The 22,988-nt window shown below is 47.5% G+C and overlaps 2 protein-coding genes across 18 annotated transcripts in view, besides 1 other annotated feature; both read right to left on the bottom strand.

The window, feature by feature from the left end:
• Positions 1-383: 383 nt before the first annotated feature.
• On the bottom strand, positions 384-4,403 carry TMEM125 (transmembrane protein 125). Of its 5 annotated transcripts, none has more exons than XM_011540705.3 (4): positions 4,301-4,403; positions 3,593-3,858; positions 2,047-2,202; positions 384-1,808 (listed from the first exon to the last, which is right to left on the bottom strand). In XM_011540705.3, exon 4 carries the CDS (start codon positions 1,661-1,663, stop codon positions 1,004-1,006), a length of 660 nt encoding a protein of 219 aa, XP_011539007.1. In that variant the 5' UTR covers positions 1,664-1,808; positions 2,047-2,202; positions 3,593-3,858; positions 4,301-4,403; the 3' UTR covers positions 384-1,003. The 5 variants fall into 5 exon arrangements, with proteins under 5 accessions (XP_011539007.1, XP_047301911.1, NP_001307173.1 ...); XM_047445955.1 differs by having other exon boundaries at positions 3,133-3,800; NM_001320244.2 differs by having other exon boundaries at positions 3,593-3,800.
• Positions 4,269-4,772: an enhancer, noted in NCBI's record as "NANOG-H3K27ac-H3K4me1 hESC enhancer chr1:43735285-43735788 (GRCh37/hg19 assembly coordinates)". NCBI's record gives its function as "activates a minimal SCP1, AML or CMV promoter by ChIP-STARR-seq in primed H9 embryonic stem cells {active_cell/tissue: H9 hESC(primed)}" and the evidence as "EXISTENCE:reporter gene assay evidence [ECO:0000049][PMID:30033119]".
• CFAP57 (cilia and flagella associated protein 57) overlaps positions 20,028-22,988 on the bottom strand; it is an 82,029-nt gene continuing 79,068 nt past the window's right edge. For all 13 annotated transcript variants that reach the window (XM_011540796.2, NM_001195831.3, XM_011540793.1 and 10 more), the window contains one exon: positions 20,028-20,409. In XM_011540796.2, coding sequence (XP_011539098.1) covers positions 20,195-20,409 — 215 coding nt within the window. In that variant the 3' untranslated portion in view covers positions 20,028-20,194. The remainder of the gene's footprint in view (positions 20,410-22,988) is intronic.

Below are 22,988 nucleotides of genomic sequence, written 5' to 3'. Positions count from 1 at the left end.
TTCTGGTTTCAGAGGTGGGGCAGGGAGATGTAGCCTCCCAACCACCCTCAGGGAATCCGCTGAAGAGGCACAACCGAAGGGAGGTGCAGTTGCCAGAGAAACCAGCTGATAACACCAAACACTTAAGGCCTCATATTGAACTAGCATGTGAGCAAATGCGAAGGACTCAGGTCCCTCACCTCTCCCTGGGACTGGAAACCGACCACCTTCCCAAGGCTGGCATCCACTCCGTCCTCTCCCTACCTAAGAGGAGAAACCACAGGCCTGACTGAGGAGACCCTCAAGGCACGGTTTATGAGGCTGAGATAGGAGTGAGGAGTTTGCTTTGGATGGGGCGGGGCTTGGGGTAGGGGAGGAAGGGTCTCTGAGGTGAGATCCTGAGATGGAGACAATGACAACGGCAGCCGCCATTTTATTGCCAATCAGCCATGAGCCCCGCCTTCCATACACAATGACATTTCATCCCCACAATCGATTAACACAACCATGATAGCCATGAACTCCCAACTCCTCCAGCTGCTAGTGCTCAACGGGAGAGTCCCCTCCAGGTCTGTCTCATTGCAGAGCCCATATTCTTTCTGCCTGGCCAGCAGTTACTCTCCTCAATGAGCAGGCACTGGTGCAGTCTTGGGTGGGCACCAGTCACCCCTATGGAAATCCTTGATGGATGTTACAGGACAGGATTGGATGTGAGGGGTCTTGGAAATGGGGCTCAAGAATCTTCATCATGAGGCGTTTCTGCGCCTACTGACCTGAGATACAGAGAGGAAGTTCCATGGACACCAACACCCAGTTCCAAGGAGGCACACATTAACCTTCCCATGATGTGGATGTGTGGGAACACATGGGCTTTTAATCACACGCCATGCAATCCACAGAAGAGCTGACCCAGCCTGGGGGCATACACGCACTCATGTGTACTCAACGTTCACATGCACTCACACCCTGGCTCGGCTCTGGGGACGCTGAGGCCGCTGTGAGAAGAAGGACGGCTCTGGCTCCGTCAGATGAGGCTGGCAATGCTGGATGTGGTCTCGTGACGCCGGCCAGCAGACAACTGTCCTGAGATGCTGAAGATGCTGCCATGGCCGCCATGGCCACTGTGGGTGGAGGGAGTGGCCATACAGATGGAGGGGCAGTGTCCGCTCACACCCACTTGATACAGCAGCAGGCCCAGCAGCAAAAGCGAGCCCAAGGCAGCCAGAGCAATGCCCACAGACAGCATGGCGGCCAGCGGCCGAGCAGGGGCAGGGGCGGCGGCCAGCCCGGCCAGGGTCAGGCCGGTGACCAGCAGCACGAGGCCACTGAGCAGCACCACGAGGGCGTCGGCCCCTCCACCACTGCGCAGCAGGGCCACATGGTGGGCCTGGCGGATGCAGTTCATGTCCTGCACAGCCGAGCTCATCAGCTGTTTCACCAGAACCAGCAGAGCCAGCAAACAGAGCACAGTGCCCGTTGCTAGCCGCCATTCACCTGAGCGGCTGCTGGTGGTTGACAGCAGTGCCACGCCGCCCGCGCCACAGCCTGCCACGAGGCCCACGGCCACGACGAAGCAGAGCGCCGAGCGCCGCGGCTGCTGGGACCACCACAGCTCCACCTGCTCTGCCAGCATGTCCGGGGGCAGCCCCCGGCCCCCTGGGGCTTGAGCCTCCTGTTCAGACATGGCTTGGTCAGGCAGGGGTCAGGGTAGGAGGTCAATGTCAGGGGTCAGAGGGTTCAGATCACAGCCTGGAGCACCTGCCACCTGCTTGGCAGCTACAGGCCCAGAGTCCCATTCCTCTCACAGTCCAGGATATGGTCACCCTCACCTGTAGGGGAAGGATCACAGTCTTACCTTCCCAGCCCACCTGTCCCCCACGGTCCCACCTGGGAGCCTTGGGGATGATCCCTGAGAATCCACCCCAGTGTTCCCCCGAATCTCCCCTGGGATAGCCCCCTCTGCAGTACTGTCCCTTGGGAATGGCTCTCCAATGACCCCAGGGGAGTACCCTGCCCATAGGGTACCCCCTAAAACCCTCCAGGGAATCCCCTCACCCAGGCCCTGACCTCTCTGCCTCTGGCTCTCTCAGTCGCTGGTCCCATCCCGGCTGGCTGAGGGAGCTGGTGCCACGGTGGACGATGGGACGAACAGCCAGAGATAAAGCCTCATTCAGGATCCTACTCACATGGCCTCAGCTGTCACCACTGGTTCCTCGGGAGGAGCTGTGGGGATGGAGGGGGCGCTTATGACTTAACCCTTCTGGAACCAGAAGCCTGACTGACCTTGACACTTCTCTTTTAGGGCTGTGTCTCCTCCTTCTCTGTGGGTTAGGACCAGACCCCTAACACCCTCCCTCCCCTAACATCCCATCCAATCTCACAGCCATGAGTTTGGTAATATAAGCTGCCAGTTCCCAAATTCCTCTCTCCAACCTACATCTCCGTCCTGAGTCAATTGTCACCTTGATGTCCCTGTGATGCAACAGGTCCCAACCCAAGCTCGTTGTCTTACTCCAACCTGTTCCTTCTGCGTTCCTCACTTCAGGCATGGCATCACTGCCCTCTCAGCCAGCTCCTCCTCCCTCTGCTGTATCTAATCCACGTCCTGTCCCTGGGGCTCCACCTCTAAACATTTCTCTAGCCAGTTCCCTGCTCTCGTATCCTTGGCTCCCGCCTCCACCTCCTCACTGGTCTTTCTGCTCCCCTTGCTCTTCTCCACACTCGCCATTCCCCCATGCCATCCTCCTCCACGATTTCTCTAAAGTGGAGCAAAGGAAAAAGGAGGGCTCTGGATTTGAACCCCAGCTCCAGTCCTTCCCACCGGTAGGAACATGGCCAGGCACCTAACAGTGGCTGCTGATTTAACCTGTCCTCCAGAGGAAAGCATGTCTCACATTGGGCAAAAATAAAGCACATGAGGTCCCTGCCTTCAAGGAGCCCCAGTCTGCAGCAGAAGACAGAGACAGAAGCAAGCAGGCCAGTGCCTGTGCTAAGTGTGGGTGTGGGTTAGTCAGCCCAGAGCCCTGCAGAGCCCAGGAGAGGGGTCTGGGGGAGGGGCCAGGAAGCCTGAATGGTTCGTCTCTTAGAGCCTCAGTCTCCTTGTCTGAAAAGTGAAGACAATAACATTTATCTTGAGGGGTGGGGATGAGTCACCTGACATCTTCGTTTCAGAATTCCAGTGGGGCCTAGAGCCTGCATAGATGCTCAAAGCGTGCTTTTTGAATACATGAAAACGATGTTACCCCTCCAAGGCAGGACAGGGCAGAAGACGTAGGTCCTGGGTCATTCTGGGAATATTACTATGTGGCCGTGCACAGGTTACATCCTGACGAGGTATCTGTCCTCCCGGAGACTCCTCTGCAGAGGCTGACCCCTACCCCCGAGGTGGGCGGGGGCTGGTGCCGATGCTCTCAAGGAAGTGGGGGAGGTGGGCGTGGCCGTGGAGTCAGTCCCAGCATTCCCCTGGGCTGTGACTTCGTTGGTCTGAAAATGCTTGCACAGGTGTGCTGAGACAACGGGTGTCAGGCTGGGGGCGGGGTGGAGGTTCTCAGGGGAGAAGCGAGTGGGAGAACATGGGGGCGGTGGGGCGTTGGGGGACAATGGGGGAACTCACGAGAAGCCTGGATGTGCTGGATCCGATCCGAGAAGGCAGGGCCGAGCAGGTGGGGCACTCTAGCTTGGTTTCCGGGGAGACACTTCACCTGCCTAACCTGCACTCAGGTGAGCCTGCCGGGAGGAGGATGAACAGGTGTCGTTTCCAGGGCAGGGCCTGAGCCGATTGGCTGACGTGGCACTGCTCCTTCTGCTGGGCTGAGGCATTCCTGTGAAGGGAGGGGCTTCTGTCCGCTGCAGTTAGGGCTCGGAACACAATTCGCAGACCTGGGCAGCAGGAGGAATGTCGTCTATCTGCCCCAGAGCCTGGGCGCCAACCCATTCCACAGCTCCGACCCCGATTTAGCTTTAGCTCCAGCTTCAAAACCAACCCCTAACTCTAGCTGCAGCTGCAAACCCTAGCTAGAACTCCCAGCTTCCACCCCTGCCCCAGCTCCTGCGTCACATCTCAGCCCCAACCCCCAGCCCCATTTCCAAATTCAATTCCAGTCCCAACTCCAAATCCAACCCCTAATCTGGCTAGAAACCTCAGCCCCCAACTCCTAACTCCAACTCAAATTCTGGACTAAGGTCCTAGATCCCAACCTCACGCTCAGCCCGAACCTCGACTCCTGTTCCTGAATCCAGCCCCCAAACCCAACGCCAACCTCAAACCCAGCTTTAGCCCCAAATTCCAACATCAGCGGACCCCCAAACACAGCCCCAGTACCTCCATCCCTTGGCCCTAGGCTGCAGCCTCCAAAAGCCCCGTGCTCATTCTCCCTCAAATGAGCCCCACAGACTGGATCCTACTGGGGAAGCAGGATTTGAGTGAACAGGGAGGAGGGGTGAAGGCCTTTCAGGCAGGAGACAGGAACTCCCAGAATAAACACTTCAGAAGAAATGCCACACTCCTTCACAAGGCTCATAAAGCCCCTGCCATATACACCAGGCCAGTCATTTGCCACTGGCACCCTGCCCTCCTCTCTGCCCTTCCAGTTTTTGAACTCAAGAGTTCTCCCTTGCCTGGGATATTTGCCACTCCCCAGCCTCAGTCTGGGCAACTTGCATTCTTCAACTGAGATGCCACCTCCTCCAGGAAGCCTTCCCTGACTTGCAGGCTGGTTTAGAGGTGCCTCTTTGGTGCACCCATGGCCCCTGTGCTTCCCCAACAACTACTCTTACTGCAATATGCTTAATTGCCTATTATGTATTTACCTGTCATTCCCTGCTAGATGTGTGGTCCCCAGCAAGCAGACGGACAGTGCCTCTTTTGCTAATCATCATGACCTCAGTAGCTAGTATGTAGGACGTAATCAATACATATTTGTTGAATGATTGATTAGCAGACTAAATGATAGCATGAACTGACAGCTGTGGGGGTTTTGAGCAGGAAGCATGTGAGAGGAAGCTGGAAAGACAAGTTTGGCTCAGGCTGTTCAGGGTCTTGAAGGCCCATAGTGAGGCACTTGGGCTGTGTAAGGGGCCCATGGAGGGTTCTAAAGTTTAATAGGGACATGGTGGGAGCTTCTAATAGGCAAATCTGGCACCACACACACACCACCCTCCGGACTGGTGAAGGGCAGGCTGGCTGGAGCTGTTGTAGGCTGTCCCTCATCTCCTGGATCAGCCCCTGTGATGTCTCTTGCTTTCTCCTCCTGATGTGTATGAACTAGAAAAGAAAAACAAGATCACCCTTATCTTGTTATTATCAGTTCACAAAATAATGGTGCTCGACCTGCTTTCGCATCTCTTTGCTTTGTTCTGCGGAGATGACTGGAGGCCAGTCATAATTCTAGAACAGCCCTGTCCGCTAGAAATATAGCCTGAGCCGCCGGGCATGGTGCCTCACGCCTGTAATCCCAGCACTTTGGGAGGCTGAGGTGGGCGGATCACGAGGTCAGGAGTTCAAGAGCAGCCTGGCCAACGTGGTGAAACCTCGTCTCTACTAAAAATACAAAAATTAGCCAGGCATGGTGGCAGGCCCCTGTAATCCCAGCTACTCAGGAGGCTGAGGCAGGAAAATTGCTTGAACTTGGGAGGCAGAGGTTCAGTGAGGCGAGATTGTGCCATCGCACTCCAACCTGGGTGACAGAGCAAGGCTCCGTCTGCGGGCGGGGGCTGGGGCACGGGGAAGAAAAAAGAAATATAGCGTGAGCTACATATATAAACTTTTCTAATAGCTGCATTCAAAAATGAAAAAGAAACCCATGAGATTAATACATTTAAATTAATACATTTTAATTCCAAAACACATTTTTATATATGTTATTGATGAGCTATTTTACAGTTTTATTTTGTACAGGGTATTTTATTTTTATTTTTAAAAATAGAGATGGGGGTCTCGCTATGTTGTCCAGGCTGTTCTCAAACTCCTGGGTTCAAGCGATCCTCCTGCCTTGGCTTCCCAAAGTGCTGAGATTACAGGCGTGAACCAAAAGTCTTGAAAATTTGGTAGGTATTATTTTATACTTACAGAGCATCTCATTTATCCCAGCCACACTGCAAATGCCCAGGCACCACATCTGTCATGTGGCTGTGTCCTTACTGGATGGCATGGCTTTAGATGTCCTTTCCCTCAGAAAAAGGTCAGTGCAGTCTGGATCAGGAGGATGGTTGGGCGGAGTGGGGTGGGGAGACAGTGGTGTGGCATTGCAGGTGTTCATCCTGCCAATTTGCAAAGCATTATAAAGGTATCCCCTTTATAATAAAGGGGCTTGACTCAGAGGAGCAGGGGAGCCAGGGGCCCAACAGGGCTTGCTGGCTGCAGATTCCTCTTGCACACATCTGACATTTATTTACCCACCCTGGTCCCCAGGTCCAGTCCCAGCCAGACCCATGGGCCAGCTGTCCCAGGCAGAGCTGCAGCAGGGGACCCATGAAATTTTCCTTCCTTTACCCCTTCCCTTAGGGGTTTGAAGGGAAATTTTTGGATGGGAGAAACAACACCTAAAAGCTTCGTTGGTTTAAACATTGATTGGGCAAGTCTCTATTCTAGTTCTGGGTCTTATCAAGTAACTTGGAGTCAAGTGGAAAGGCAGGCTCTTCACAGGGCTGTTGAACTCTGTCCCCAAAGCAGAGGTTGTTGGGGTAATTCAGATTGGTGACGGTGAAGGTCAGGAGGAGGAGGTGGCCGTGGGCACAAAGCGGAAGGTGCGGACGAACCACCCGCAGATCCACAAGAAGGTGGTGAATGGGAGTACTGTGGGGAGAACACAGAGGCTGTGGGGCTGTCTCCCAGCTTCTGCCATGTTCCCACCACAGGCTGTTCTCAACCCAGTGGCCCGAGTGATTCAGTTAGGAGGTGCAGAGTCCCTCCAGCAGCCCGCCTTCCTCAGAGGAACAGAGTCCTCCCACCGCCATAAGGCCCTCTCTGGCTTCATTCCTATTGCCTCAGAGCCTCTGCACCAGCAGCTCCATCTGCCTGGAATGCTTCTGACCCACATGGCTCCCTCCCTCCCTCCCTCCTTCAGGAATGTTCTCAAATGGCATCTTCTCAGGGAGACTTGTTGGCCACCTCATCTCAAATTGCAACCTCCCAGTACTTCCTATCCCCTGCCCTTGTGTTTTATTTCCTTATGTTTCTCCTCAGCACTATCACTCTGACATGCTATATATCTGTCTTATCAATCTGAAATGTTGTCTCCTAGATTGTAAGCTTTATGAAGGAAAGATTTGTGTGTGTTTACTGTCCTATCCCTACCTCCTGGAATAGGACTGGCATAGAGTAGGTGCTCAATAAATGTTTGTTGAATGAATAAATGGTGGAAAGAACACTGGATTTGGAGCTAGATTGATCTTGAAGGTTCAAGCCCCAGCTCTAGCTGTGTAACCGGAGAAAAATTGCTTAACCTCCTTGTGTCTCAGTCTCTTTCATTTGTAAGATGGGGATGACAGAACTTAGTTTATATAGTTGTAAGGGGATTAAATAATATAATTAGGCCGGGCACGGTGGCTCACAGCTATAATCCCAGCACTTTGGGAGGCTGAGGTGGGCAGATCACTTGAGGTCAGGAGTTCAAGACCAGCCCGGACAACATGGTGAAACCTCATCTCTAATAAAAATATAAAAAATTTGCCAGGTGTGGTGGCACATGCCTGTAATCCCAGCTACTCAGGCGGTTGAGACGGGATAATCGCTTGAACCCAGGAGGTGGAGGTTGCAGTAAGCTGAGATCGAGCCACTGCACTCCAGCCTGGGCAACAGAGCAAGACTACGTCTTAAAAAAAAAAAAAAAAAAAAGAATGAATCCATTCAGCATCCACTGATCGTATCCCTCCTGTGGACCAGGTGTTGTGGGGGTGCTGGAGATATAGTGTTAAGTGGAGAGGCACTGTTCTTTCCGTCCTGAGGACAGTCTCAGGGAACAATGGGCATAAGGCATAGCACCTACAGGCTTCCAATGCCTCCAGGCACCCACTCCCTTCTCAGTGAGTGACAGTTCCCTGAGATAGACATCTTTTGGAGTATTGGTCCCATTCACCATGACCATCCTCACTGCAAGGAAGAATCCCAACGACCAGATTATGTTTTCTGACCCACCACTGCAGCTATAGTTGATTAGACAGAGCCTCCGACTCAAGCTAGGCACCTAGATAGGTGAGTGTCCTTTGTGGGTCCAGACAGCAGGATCTGCTCCTCTCAATCTGGGAAATTTTTAAAGGAATTTCCATTTGTAGACGGAACAAGCCCAACTGACCGAGAGGGAAGCACCATGACTGTTTCAGGATGGACACTCTTGGGGACTTGTTTGTACTTGTGTGTTATGTCCCGGCAAGTGAGCGTCTTTTTTGGGTAGCAGATGGCGGGGTCAGCTCCTCTCAATTTGGGAAATTCCTTAAGGAATTCCCATTTGCTGGTTGATCAAGCCCAAACACAGAAGAGAGAGGAAGCACCCTGACTTTTCAGTTTGGACACTAAGGGCTTGTCTGTTGCTGCAGTAGTTGGATAGTGTTCTGGTGATTGTGTGTATTTGATATAGGCATGAGGAATTAGAATTTAATTTGGTAATCTTTTGCAATACTCTTTGGCCCCAAAATTGTTTGGAATCTGGAGTTTGCTGTTGAATGGGAACGTGGGATGGAGTTGCATGTATCCAGGCTTTTGTTCTGCTGTTTTAAGCAGAGTCGGGCCTAGTTAATATGTAATGTTTTCCTTTGGTGCTGTTTAGCCCCAGTGTTCTTTGGAGTCTGGGGAGGTTTGGCCCTTAAAAATCAAACTGCCATGAAAACTGCTTTACCCAAAATTTTGGCTCATAGCCTTTGTTGGATTACCTATCAGGGCAAACAAAGTGTAACCATGTAAAGCCGGTGAGTTTGTATTGCTATGGCATGGGTAAAGTTCCAAGGTATAAGCTATTGAATTTTCGCTTGTGTATGTGTCTACATACCTAGATGTGTTTATTTGTATGTACACTTACTGTTATATGTTGTGTTGGCTTATAAGAGCACTCATAAATTAAGCAAATAAGTCTAAGCAATTTTCAAGTTCACATGACTTAAGTAAATCTTTACTAAACACACTGGTTTTAAAATTATTGGTAAAATGAAAATATAAATGTCTTCAGAATTGTCAGCATACATTTCTGTCTGGATTTTATATTTGTCTCTGTTACATAGTTTGAGGCGTCAGAGTTTGGCATAGAAGGTTATAAAACTATAAACCCAGCCCAAACCAAATGATCTTTGTGCAAATTTTTTGATAAGTAAGACTAATGAATGTTGTTGGTTTAATGAAAACAGCTGAATTTCTGAGTTATTAGTTAAAATACCTATGTTTTTAACTTGGAGGCTTTTTTTTTTTTTTTTTTGAGACAGAGTCTCGCTCTGTCGCCCAGGCTGGAGTGCAGTGGCGTGATCTCGGCTCACTGCAAGCTCTGCCTCCCGGGTTCACACCATTCTCCTGCCTCAGCCTCCCGAGTAGCTGGGATCACAGGCGCCCACCACCACACTCGGCTAATTTTTTGTATTTTTAGTAGAGATGGAGTTTCACTGTGTTATCCAGGATGGTCTCGATTTCCTGATCTCGTGATCCACCCGCCTTGGACTCCCAAAGTGCTGGGATTACAGGCGTGAGCCACCGTGCCCGGCCCTTAACTTGGAGGCTCTTAAGTGAGCACCTGAAGTTCACTGGCTATGAAAAAACTGGTTAGGCTGGGTGTGGTGGCTCATGCCTGTAATCCCAGCACTTTGGGAGGCTGAAGCAGGCAGATCACTTGAGGTCAGGAGTTTGAGACCAGCCTGGCCAATGTGGTGAAATCCCATCTCTACTAAAAATACAAATTAGCTGGGTGCGCTGGTGCATGTCTGTAATCCCAGCTACTTGGGAGGCTGAGGCAGGAGAATTGCTTGAACCCAGGAGGCAGAGGTTGCAGTGAGTTGAGACTGCACCACTGCACTCCAGCCTGGGTGACAGGGTGAGACTCCATCTCAAACAAACAAAAAAAAAAAAAAAAAAAAAAAGGAAGAAAAAGAAAAAAGAAAAAAACTGGTTAACAAGGAAATAACCAACTTTAAATGATGGTGTTTAATAACTGTTTTCAGAAGTAATCTAGATAAACTGTTAAAAATGAAAGAATTGAATACATGTAAATGGGATAAATGTTTTAGGTAAACTTTTTGTGTAATTTTAAATCTTAAAATTATTTTTGATGCTCATTGACATCTGGGTCATTTTCAGTTAAGAAAGGGTTATGATATGGGGAAATATGTTTCTAGAAATTGTGGAATGGTTCTCAGCTATAAAATGCTCATATCTGATAGTTCAGGATTTATTGCTTCTTAGGGTTTCACTAAAATTTAAGGTTACCAAGGATAAGAATTATAGTTAATATATAATTATGTCTATAAAATGTGCCACAAATGTGCTATTTAGTGAGAAAAAGAATAATTATGTCTAATTCAGAAGTTATCTAAAAGTAAAGTTAATTCAAATTATGGACTTGAAAATGATTATTTATGAAACAAAGTAGTAAGGAACCAGTAAGTAAGGGAGAGAGGTGTGAATAAAGTCATGGATATGAAGATGTATTTTTGGCAAAGAAGATTGTAAAGAAAAGATAATAATTTTGTATGAGAAAGGATCTTGTGTGGTGAATTTTTTGTGTTGGAGTAAAATGACTGGTTATTTAAAGTAAAAACAAGAAGAAAAAAATCTGGGACTGGATGGAAAGCCCAGGCATGTAGTGCATAGTCTGTGTAAGTTGTATGTAGTTTTTCTTGTTTCTCTGCACATGCAGAGAAAAATAGAAAGTTGAAAAAGTTTTGGCTGGGTGCAGTGGCTCATGCCTCTAATCCCAGCTCTTTGGGAGGCTGACATGGGTGGATCACCTGAGGTTAGGAGTTTGAGACCAGCCTGGCCAGCATGGTGAAACCCTGTCTCTACTAAAAATACAAAAATTAGCCAGGCGTGGTGGTGAGTGCCTGTAATCCCAGCTACTCAGGAGGCTGAGGCAGGAGAATTGCTTGAACCCGGGAGGTGGAGGTTGCAGCGAGCTGAGATTGCACCATTGCACTCCAGCCTGGGTGACAAGAGCGAGACTCTCTCTCTCAAAAAAAAAAAAAATAATAAAAATAAGTTGAAGAAATTTAGATAATAAAATGTTCTTTAAAACCTGGTAGAGAATTGGAGAAATTTGGATACTTAACATTTTCATAGTACTTAACATTTTCATAGTTAAAGCTCTTCATCTTGATGAAGGTAAAATAATAAATATTGCACAGAAATACATTAGCAGTTTGGCAATTCTTTTTTAATACAGTTAAGTATGAAGCCAGATTTAGTGTTGCACCAAATCTCACATACCTGCCTGCATTGCTTCACACTAGGTTTGCTGTTTTGCATGAATAGTGCTGGTGCTAGAGTACTTACTGGTCATGTGCCTAGAGTGAATTTCTTGATTTCACAGGATGTATGGTGATATTGGTGGACTTAAGGATACTGAATTGTGTATGAGGAATAAAATATTCATCACGTGTTTTTTTTTTTGGGCTCTGGATAGCATGGTAGCCTCCAGGGTAGACTAAGTTGAGGAAAGGTTGGGGTTGGTTTCCTGTTTGTTTTTGCTTCTAATTTTCATTTGTTTGCTGTTTGTTCTGCTTTGCGTTTTGCTTGTGTATGTATATATATATAAAACAATGTATGGTTTTTAGTTTCTAGTGGAAGGCTTTTACTTTGTTCTGTGAATAGTTATTTTGTTTTCTGTGCATTTCTAGGAAGTCATCATTTATTCTGTTTATCTGGAATTCCTAGGCTACCTTTGTTGGGCCTGCAGGAATTGATGGAGCACACCAGCCATTTGGAATTTGGTTGGTTTTGCTTGCCTCTGATGATCTAGAGCTAAAAAACAAAAGACTTATTTTTTTAAGTTCTGAACAGAAATAGTACATTATATATTTTGTTGTTTGGAGAGGTGGATAAGAGTGGAACTGTTTGCATGGTGTTTGTTTCCAGGGTGAGTCAACTGAATCAATAGTTTGGGTTGATTTCAGATCATTTCCTTTAATGAAGAAAAACTGTGATATGGATACAAAGTTTTAATGTTCAGGAAAGATTGGCCTTGTCCTTAAGAAAATTATATTGATTAGAATTTCTCTCAAATGAATTTAAAGTGACATTCACTTGGATTAAGTAGTAATAAAAAAAAGGTGATATTTTCTAGTGATTTTGTTTTTATCTCAAGTAGTTTATCACTGATTGACCTTCATGTGTGTAACTTGAAAACAAAATATGTGCAAGTGTTGCACTGGTTTGAAGATTTTGGCAGTAAAAGTTACCTAATCAGTTGTCAGTACTGTGTCTGGAAACCAGTCTTGGAAGTGTGATGATGTGCTTTTAAAATAGCTGAAAAGAAATTGTTTTGTACTTGTTCTTACTTTGTCCTTGTTTTGTTGTATAGTATTGTGTCCAGAATTGGTTCCTTCCGGTGGGTTCTTGGTCTCACTGACTTCAAGAATGAAGCCACGGACCCTTGCGGTGAGTGTTACAGTTCTGTTTTTTTTTTTGTTTTTTTTGTTTTTGATGGAATCTCGCTCTGTTGCCCAGGCTGGAGTGCAGTGGTGCAATCTCAGCTCACTACAAGCTCTGCCTCCCGGGTTCACGCCATTCTCCTGCCTCAGCCTCCCGAGCAGCTGGGACCACAGGCACCCACCACCACGCCTGGCTAATTTCTTGTATTTTTAGTAGAGATGGAGTTTCACTGTGTTAGCCAGGATGGTCTCAATCTCCTGACCTCATGATCCGCCTGCCTCGGCCTCCCAAAGTGCTGGTATTACAGGCATGAGCCACCACACCTGGCCTACAGCTCTTAAAGATGGTGTGTCTGGAGTTTGTTCCTTCCAATATTCAGATGTGTCCAGAGTTTCTTTCTTCTGGTGGGTTCGTGTTCTCGCTTGACTTCAGGAGTGAAGCTGCAGACCTTCGCAGTGAGCATTACACCTCTTAAAGGTGGCATGTCCAGAGTTGTTTCTTCCTTCTGGTGGGTTTGTCGTCTTGCTGACTTCAGAAGTGAAGCCGCAGACCTTTGCAGTGAGTGTTACAGCTCTTAAAGGTGGTGCGTCTAGAGTTGTTTGTTCCTCCCAGTGGGTTCGTGATCTCCCTGACTTCAGGAGTGAAGCTGCAGACCTTTGCAGTGAGTGTTACAGCGCTTAAAGGTAGTGCGGACCCAAAGAGTGAGCAGCAGAAATTTATTGTGAAGAGTGAAAGAACATAGTTTCCACAGTGCACAACGGGACCCAAGCGGGTTGCCACTGCTGGCTCGGGTGGCCAGCATTTATTCTCTTATTTGGCCCCACCCACATCCTACTGATCGGTCCATTTTACAGAGCACTGATTGGTCCATTTTTACAGAGTGCTGATTGGTGCATTTACAAACCTTTAGCTAGACACAAACACTGATTGGTGTGTTTTGACAGAGTGCTGATTGGTACATTTTTACAGAGTGCTGATGGGTGCATTTACAAACCTTTAGCTAGACATAGAGCGCTGATTGGTGTGTTTACAATCCTCTAGCTAGACAGAAAAGTTCTCCAAGTCCCCACCCGACCCAGAAGCCCAGCCAGCTTCACCTCTCAGTATTTAAGTGAAAGGAGATTATTTCTCATATTGAATTTCCAAAACTGATATTTGCATTTACCATATTTCAATGATAGAGGAAAAAGTTGTCTTAGTTTGATAAGTTTGGCATAGGGCTTATCACATTTTTGATACTTTGGGTCACAGTTCTGTCACTAGAATACTAGCAATTAGACATATGCAATGAGTAACCTAACTACTTTAATACCCTGGTTTGAAATACTGCAGGCAGTTATTCCTAAACACCAAATCACAGTGTTTTAATTTGTAACATGTTAGAGAAAACGACAGGACTTTCTGTAGTATAAATATCCTATTAATTAATGTTTGTGCTGTTAAGTTACAGGGCTTTGACTCTTGAGCCTCAAGAAGGCACCAACCCAATAAATTTTCAGCATTGATTCCAGTCAAATCCTCAGGACAGTGATGCAAGGCCAGCGTCTGGGCCCATGTTTTGGAATGACAGGGTTGTCTTGGAGTATTGATCTGCTCTTTAATAGAAAATTGGGACCAGGCATGGGGGCTCATGCCTGTAATCTCAGCACTTTGGGAGACTGAAGTAGTGGATCACTTGAGGCCAGGAGTTCAAGACCACACTGGCCAACATGGCGAAACCCTGTCTCTACTAAAAATACAAAAATTAGGTGGGTGTGGTGTTGTATGCCTCCCAGCTACTTGGGAGGCTGAGACACGAGAATCTCTTGAACCCAGGAGGTGGAGGTTGCAGTGAGCCAAGATGGTGCCACACTGCACTCTTGAAAGCAGGTTTCTGATAACTTTGGAGATTGTGCCATTGGATTAGAGAGAAAACTTTCAGGGCCCTTATTGAAAGGCTAATGTGTTCATATCCCAATATGAGGCAGAGCAGGAGTTGATTGCATGGACTGAACTAATAAGGGACTGAAATAATTTTTTAATGGCTTTTGTTGTTTGAAATATTGCCGATTCCTTTTGTTTTTCAGAGTCTGGAGAATTTTTTTCTTTTGAGTTATTTATATCCTTGAAATATACTTTAAGTGTATTGAGTATACTTTTGTAAGCAGAATTTGAAACATGTTTCTCTCGCTGCCTAATTTCTCCAGAATATGGAAACTATTTGTGAATATTCTTTTTTTTTTTTTGTCCTTGAGATGGAGTCTTGCTCTGTTGCCCAGGCTGGAGTGCAGTGGCATGATCTCGGCTCACTGCAAGCTCTGCCTCCTGGGTTCACAACATTCTCCTGCCTCAGCCTCCCAAGTAGCTGGGACTACAGGGGCCCACTACCATGCCCGGCTGATTTTTTTTTTAAATTTTTAGTAGAGATGGGGTTTCACCATGTTAGCCAGGATGGTCTCGATCTCCTGACCTCATGATCCACCTGCCTCTGCCTCCCAAAGTGCTGGGACTACAGGCATGAGCCACCGTGCTCGGCTTTCTTTGTACTTTTTTTTTTTTTTTTTTTTTTTGAGACAGAGTCTCACTCTGTCACCCAGGCTGGACTGCAGTGGCGTGATCTCGGCTCACTGCAAGCTCTGCCTCCTGGGTTCATGCCATTCTCCTGCCTCAGCCTCCCGAGTAGCTGGGACTACAGGTGCCTGCCACCACACCCAGCTGATTTTTTTGTATTTTTAGTAGAGACGGGGTTTCACCATGTTAGCCAGAATGGTCTCGATCTCCTGACCTCGTCATCTGCCTGCCTTGGCCTCCCAAAGTGCCAGGATTACAGGCATGAGCCACCGTGCCCAGCCGAATATTCTTAATTCATGGCAATGTGTTTCTTTTCATACATTTAATAAGAACCTGTTTTCTTTTGTAATGGGACACACTTGGAGGAACTGGTTATTTTCCCAGTGCTTTGACTGAAATGGCCTTATGATAGGTTCCAGCAAAGCCAATTTTGGAGAGCTTATGTTGGCAATGATTCTTGCTGCACTTCGTGTAGATAATCAGGTCAAGCATACGGGACCGAAGCCTATCTTGCAGGTAGATTGGTCCTGCTGTGATTCGTCTTTGGTGGAAGTGGCAGACTGGAGACAGAAAGATTGTGTTTCAGAAGAAAACTCTATATTAGCTTAATCTTTGATTCCTCAGTGGCCACATGGTCACTCATGGTATGGAGCTGCCTATGACACCCCTCCTCAGCATGAAGCAGCCAGGAAGATCGACAGCCAGATTCCTCATGATTGAGCAATTGACAAATAGAAAGTGAGCACGGAAACTGGCCCAAGACTCCCACAGACTGTTCTTTTGGAGGAACATAGAAATTGATCCTTCTGCTGTTAAAGCTTGAAACTTGTATTAGTTTTATCTGAGTTCCTTCCTCAGGAAAGGACCTTTAAAAAAAGTATCAGAGAACTGAAACTCACCAGATCACTGCACCAGATGCCTCCTTGCCCCTCTGTAGTCCTTGTTTTCTTACACATTGTTACATTTCTTCCCTGGTAACATAAACCCCTAGTTTTAGTCAGGGAGATAGATTTGAGGCTGAGCTCTCATCTCCTTGGCTGCAGCACCTGATTAAAGCCTTCTTCCTTGGCAATACTTGTCTTCTCAGTGATTGGCTTTCCGTGTGGTGAGCAGCAGGACCTGGACCAAACCTCGGGTGTTTCCCTAACATTCTCATAGTTCCACTTATAATACACTTAATATATTAATACATGCATTAGGTGGCTAGCACTAATTCCTATTTGTAGCCCCTGCCAAATCCCACCATGTGACACATAGCAGACGAGCAACATATACAAATTCTTGTATTCTACTGGTCATCGTAGGTGATTAGTCATGCTAGTCCCTCCTGCTTCCAGGTGCACAGGGCAGGCTTATTTTCTTGGAAATCTGCTCCCCAGCCTACCTCAGCTCAGGGCAGTCTGGGCACATCTTAGACATGCTTGAAGCCTAAGTAGGCCCTTGAACCCCAGTGGTCTAGGAGAGCTCACCCCATGGGAGTTCAGAAAGAGTGAACCCCCGTTCCTGGCCCTAAGATGTCTTCCCTTTCACTTCTCACTCCGAATGCAGAGGAATGATTATAAGGGGGTCCTGCCTGGGCACACAGATGTTCCCAGGCCCTCAGGTACCTCCTGGGACCAGCAATGGCTGGCCATATTTTGTATAAGAAGCAGGACAGTGATGCTAGAACCTTCTGTAGGGCAGGCTTTTCAGTGTTGAGATAGCAGGACACCAGGGGAGCCTCAGCTAGGTAGCCCACACTGCTTGGCCACAGCTGATGCCAAAACTCTAGAAGGTGAGAGGGCCCAGTGAGGAATTCTGGAGGCTATTATACCAAAGAGGCACAGCACTCCCCAAAGGCACCAGTCATCACACCAGAATTGAATGAGTACCTAGAGCTCAATGATGGACTGCAACCGGGAGAGCAAGAGTGGAGTCTGTGTGCCAATGCCTAGTCACTTGAGTGACCAGCAGGGGCCCTAAGGCTGCTTACAGGAGGAGGTGACTGCTAGGCCCACTCCAGCACTGTCGGGGCTGAAGCAGTAAACTGGATGAAGAGACTCGTGAAGGAAAAGGGGGCACCAATGGGGTGAATGCCTTCAGTTTCCCCACGGAGTCTGGATAGACAAAAGTAGAGGGAGGTCTCAGATGCTAGAGAACCAATGCCTCCCGATGGGTGGATTAGGAGCAAGCACTGAAGACAGAACATGGAGACATAAGCAAGATTGAACCTCTGGCCCTACATTTACTAACAAGAAGCTGTGTGCACCCCTGTGCAGCCAAGAAAAGACCTTGTTGACCTGCTGGCCAAGGTGCCAGGTTCTGCTAGGGTGGGGCCCTCCCTTGGCCCATACTTCCTCCTCACCAGCTGGACAGCATCCAGGTTTAGGTTAGGCTTAGGTTAGCTTAGCCTGGGAGTTTCCACTCCTTTAACTTCTGATTTAGACTCTCAGGGTTTCAAGTTCCTATAACCTTCACTTGGCCTACAGTGTTTTGTTTGGGCATCTCTCCAGTGCAGTGCGTAAGAGCAGCACCTTTGGAGTCACTGGGCCGACTGGCCTGCAGCCCCACCCCTGCCTGTGTGACTACGTGCCAGTCACTTTACTCCTCTTTGGTTTGGATTTCCTTGTCTGAGAACCAAGGTCCATCTTGTACGTGGAATGTGACATCTCGATTCTAAGTCATTTTGCAGTTAAAAAATCTATCACTTGAATATTGATATGTCCTAGCCATTAAGAATTTCCTTCTGGTCTTCAGGAAAGCTCCAGTCTCTAGTGCATTTTTCTTCTTCCCAGGCCCCTGCTCCATGCACCTTGGTTTGGCTAACCCTCACCAGTCCTTAAGTCCGAAGAGTTCACGTGTCTTCCTCCCCACTGCCATCATCCTGGTCCAAGCCACTGTCCTGTTTCACCTGGGCAACCACAACATCCCTTGTGTCCACTACTGCATCCCTTACCCTGTAGAACTCTCCTAGCAGGACAGACAAATATTAAGCAACTAGACAGACATGTTACCGTGATGATTAAGAAGAAAAACGATGTGGTGGGTGCAGTTTAGATAGGAGGGAGTCAAGGACTGCCTTTCTGAAGAAGTGCCCTTTAAGGTGAGATCTAAAGGATAAATAGAAGTTCACAAAGTGAGGTGTGGGGGCAAGAGCAGAGGGGGCAGAGGAAACTGTATGTGGAAAGAGATGAAGGCAGGAAAGACCTCGGCCTCTTGTACGAACTGAAAGGACGCCAATGTGGCAAGAGCTTGGTGAGCAGTGGCGGTGACTCCCAGCGGCTTAGCATTGGCCTCTGGGTGGCCCACAGCTTCTGTGTGCCTTCACGGTCCTGCACAATCTGCCCCTGCTGGCCCCTCATCCCCAGTCTCATTTCAAGTCCGTTTCTTCTTCAAAGGTGAAGCCAGCATGCTAGTTTGGAGTGGAGGAATCTGGGTCCTGGAAGATCCCACCTACCCATCATAATAATGTAATGGGCTGTCATCTTTGCAGCTGAACCTCTCTGGGGGTGCCTGGATCCTTCCCTGCTCTCTGGATCTGGCTTCCCAGTGGGGCGAGTACATGTGAAGAACATGCCAGCAGGGGGGAAGGGGCTGGCTGCTGTGACAGGGTGCAGGCTGGGTCGGGGTTGTTGCTCAGCAGACAGAGTCTCCTGCAGACCCTGTGGAACCCTTTGCTCCAAGGCCTTTGCCTGCATGCTCCTTCTGCTACACCAGCCTTTGGGAGACCTTGCCAAATGTGACTGCCAAGCCTCAGCTCTCTGTGAAAGTCAACCCATGAGCAGTGCCCAGACTTTCAGTAAAGTGATTAGGGAAAGATGGGACAATGCCAGGTTTAAGACAGCCATAGGTGACCAGCAGGGACGAGCAGGGACTGTGGGCTTAAATATTTCTTATTTGGGTATTAGAGGGGCATCTGGCTTCTGCATGTGGGAGAAGAGAGGGACATTGGATTATATTCTTTTGCTCTTTAATGCATAAAGAACTATCTCTCCTGGTACCTGTGTGTGGCTGGGTCTCCCAGGATGGCGCCTGAGAGGAATAACCAGAGGGAGAAGTGCATCCTCTCTCACTCCAGAAATGGAGGAGCAGAGCAGGACCCTGCAGAACAAAGATGACAAGTCTAGAATGACATGGAGGCAAGGGAAATGAGGGCAGGGCTCTACTTACAGTTCCAAGAACAGGGTCAGCAGATAATGTAAGACTTTGGGGAATTTTTCCAACACTTCCCATGTCTGTTATTTTACTGTCATCTTTTCCTTCTTCTTTACACAGATTAAAAAAAAAAAAAAACCCTCAGAGGCTGGGCATGGTGGCTCACGCCTGTAATGCCAGCACTTTGGGAGGCCAAGGCAGGTGGATCACTTGAAGTCAGGAGTTCGAGACTAACCTAGCCAACATGGTGAAACCCCGTCTCCACTAAAAATACAAAAATTAGCTGAGTGTGGCTGGGTGCGGTGGCTCACACCTGTAATCCCAGCGGATCACGAGGTCAGGAGATGGAGACCATCCTGGCTAACATGGTGAAACCCCGTCTCCACTAAAAATACAAAAAATTAGCTGAGTGTAGTGGTGGGCGCCTGTAGTCACAGCTACTCAGGAGGCTGAGGCAGGAGAATGGCGTGAACCTGGGAGGTGGAGCTTGCAGTGAGCCGAGATTGCGCTATTGCACTCCAGCCTGGGCGACAGAGTGAGACTCGTCTCAAAAAAAAAAAAAAAAAAGTCCTTAGAAAGCCTCGCTGCATTTCCTGAAGGAGATAGGAATGAACAGGCTTTGGTCCTGCCTGAGCTGGCAGAGGAGAGAGCCCAAGTCCAGTGTGATCTCTCAGTGCCAGGCAGTCCTGTGCCCAGAAAGGGACAAGCAGAGGTGGCTTCAGATGAGCTGGAGCCCCCAGTCCTCAGCCTCCTCTCTTTCCCTCTTCTGGCCTTGGCCCCCCAGCTAAGCAGAAGTTAGACAAGGTGTGGGCAAACACCTTTATTCTGTGTCCCAAATTCCCCAGGGCAAGAGAAAGAGGTTGCTGGGGTCAGTGCTGCAGGGACCATACAGACTCCAACCGCAAGTCTGGCTTGGGGACAGACATGCTGTGTTTCTTCTGGCTGTGGCTGGAGATGGCTCACCAGAGGGGGTCAGTTGGTCTTCACCTCTAAGTCTACCTCGGAGTTGGAGAGGGAAGGAAGCCGAACTCCAGCGAGGGTGTGGAACCCTGTGACCTGCTCTTGCTCTTGGATCTGGTCTCTGAGGCGCTGGATTTCTAGGCGCTGCATTTCAATGATCCTCCCAGTTTCTTCTTGCTCATTCAACCTTGCGGTGGGAGCTGTGCTGAGCATGTCCCTGCTGGGTTCTGTAAGAGACAACAGGACTCATGTGGGCCTGTCCATTGCACTGCTGCAGAGCCGATCCTCCCCTCCTCCCTCCCTGCTTCCTCAAACATTTATTGGGCACCTACTGTGGAGCACTCAATCCCAGATGCTGGAGGTACAGTGATAAGCCATTTTGCTGTCTCGCAGAGAGATGGAGAAGTGAAGCAGCATACTTCAGAGTGATGAGGTGAATACTGAGAACCACCCCAGCCCAGCCCCTCTCCTGAGCCCCCAGATCCGCCTGCACAGAGGCCCCCACCCATGGAGGCTGCCCCTTCTCCCATTCTCCACATCCTAGCAGGATGGCACTCTTCTCCTGACCTATGTTGGCTTCTGAACTGCCAGTCTTTCTCCTTGTGCAAAACCCCTGCTCCTGGAGACAGACCCCTTCGTGCCTCTCCAGGTGTGTCCACTCATACCTTGTTCCTTGAGAACTTTCTCCCCTGAGTCATCCTCCCTGTCTCAGGTGCTGGCATCATCCTGGGCAATGGCAGTGTCCACCAGGGTCCACGGCTCACCCCTGCCCCGCAAGGCTGAACTTGCAGCATTAGTGACCTTGGCCTCCACGCCATGCCAGCACCCACTCCTGTGGCTTCCCCTGATGCCATGCTTTAGGTCTTTCACTCTAGCACTGTTCTCTGACCACAACTGCTGTAACTGCTCTGTGCATGACACACATGATCTTGGACTGAACTGAGAACCCTCTCTTCCTGGACAACTCAATTTCTTGCCTACCAAATTGGCTCCTTTTAGATTTACTCCCTTTTCTGGCCAGCTAGACCCCAGTGAGTTTCTTCCTCCATCTTCCCAACAGCACCCTCAGTGTTCTAGTTGCCCTGTCCTCCTGTCCCATGCGCCCTGCTTGGGATCCACTGGGCTTCCTGGATTTGATGATTGGCATCTTTCATCAATTCTGGAAAAACTCTTGGCTGTACCTTATTGTAATGTTGCCTCTCCTCATTCTTTCTTTCTCAAACTTCAATTAGACATACATTGCATTATCCCACTCCCTCCTCTTTGTCTTTTACTATATCTTTATCTCTCTGGGCTGCAATCTGGGCAATTTATTCTTTTAGCTCACAAATTCCCCCTTCAGATGTGTCTAATCTACTGTTCAATCTGTCCATTGAGCTTCTAATTATAATAGTTTTCATTTCTAGAAGTATTATTTGGTTCCTTTTCAAATCTGCCTATGCAATTTTGGAAGACTTTTGCTTTTTTGTCTTATTTTCAAATTCCTTTTTTATTTTTTCAGACATGAAATTTTCTTATTTTAATAATCATACTAGCTATGAGTCTTTGTTGGTTTTATTCTGTAGTTTGATTTTTTTGTTGTTGTTGATTTTCACTTCTGGTGGTTTATTTTTTCAAGTATTTAATGACTTTTGATTGTGAGCTCATGTTCCTCAGAACACTATTTATGGGAATTCTTTGAAGCCTATATTTAAAAGGTACTCCTCCAGAGAAAATTTGCATTTGCTTCTGCTTGGGGCCTAGGGACACTACTACTGTGGGGTCCTTTTAAGGTAAATTTTCAGCCAAGATCGCCTTAAGCCACAAATTGAATGCAAATTCTAGACTAAAACTTGTCTGAGTAGGGACTTTTGGTTAGAAATTGTCATGCAGAGACCTTGTCTGAAGTTTTTTCTTTCCTTCATCCAGAGCCAAGATTGACACAAACAGTTTCTCACCCATCTTCTTATGCAAGATAAGTTTTCTCCTCTAGTCAACCTTTAGTTTCTTAATTCGTTCTATTTTGCTTTGACTCTTTCTTTTCTTTTCTTTGTTTTTAAAACAGATATCCTTGTCAGTTTTCCCATATGCATAAGGGGAGAAAAATAAAAATGTGCCTGCAATAGTAAACTGGAAGGAAAGCAAAGTTTTCCTAATATTTTATTAATTTATTTATGAAAATTATATATGCTCATAGTCAAATAACTCTATAAGGCTTATTACAAAGAACAGTATCTCTTATTCTACATTCCATTCAATTTCTCAATCCTCAGAGGCAACAATTTCAATTAGTTTAGCTAATTCCTTTATATCTACTTCCATACTCTGCTTTGATTAATGTACTTACGTTGCCTCTTTGACTTATCATTTTTAGGCATTCTCTATTGACTTCTCTCTATGAAAGACGAGGATTTAGCTTTCCTTCAGCACCTTCCCCTGCCCCTGCAAATTCCCGTCCTTTCATCCTCCTAATTTTGAGTAGATCAATAGTCAGAATTTAATTATGATTTATATAATTGCTGGTCACAGTTGAGCCATGTAGTATACAATGATTCATTTCTCTTTTCCATACAATAATTTGTGTTTCCTAAAGTTAATAATTGCTTTGTTTTTTCATTTGTGAAATTTTATATGTCCATATTGCTAATGAAACTGTCTCAATAGTTCCATAGACAGTTGTTTTTGAATAAACATAGAAATTTACCCTTCTTCTCTTAAAGCCTGAAACCTGTATTTGTTTTATCTGAGTTCGTTCTTCAGGAAAGGACCTTCAGGCTCCTTAAAAAGGAAATGTCAAAGAACTGAAACTCACCAGATCACTGCACCG

This window comes from Homo sapiens, chromosome 1, assembly GCF_000001405.40.
Source record: "Homo sapiens chromosome 1, GRCh38.p14 Primary Assembly".
NCBI lineage: Eukaryota > Metazoa > Chordata > Mammalia > Primates > Hominidae > Homo > Homo sapiens.
Note: the sequence above shows the minus strand (reverse complement) of the source record. Positions and strands in the feature narration are given on the sequence as shown.

Bases quoted from the DNA above. Each gene is read 5' to 3' on its own strand.
- TMEM125 (XM_011540705.3), bottom strand. From the start codon at position 1,663: ATGTCTGAACAGGAGGCTCAAGCCCCAGGGGGCCGGGGGCTGCCCCCG.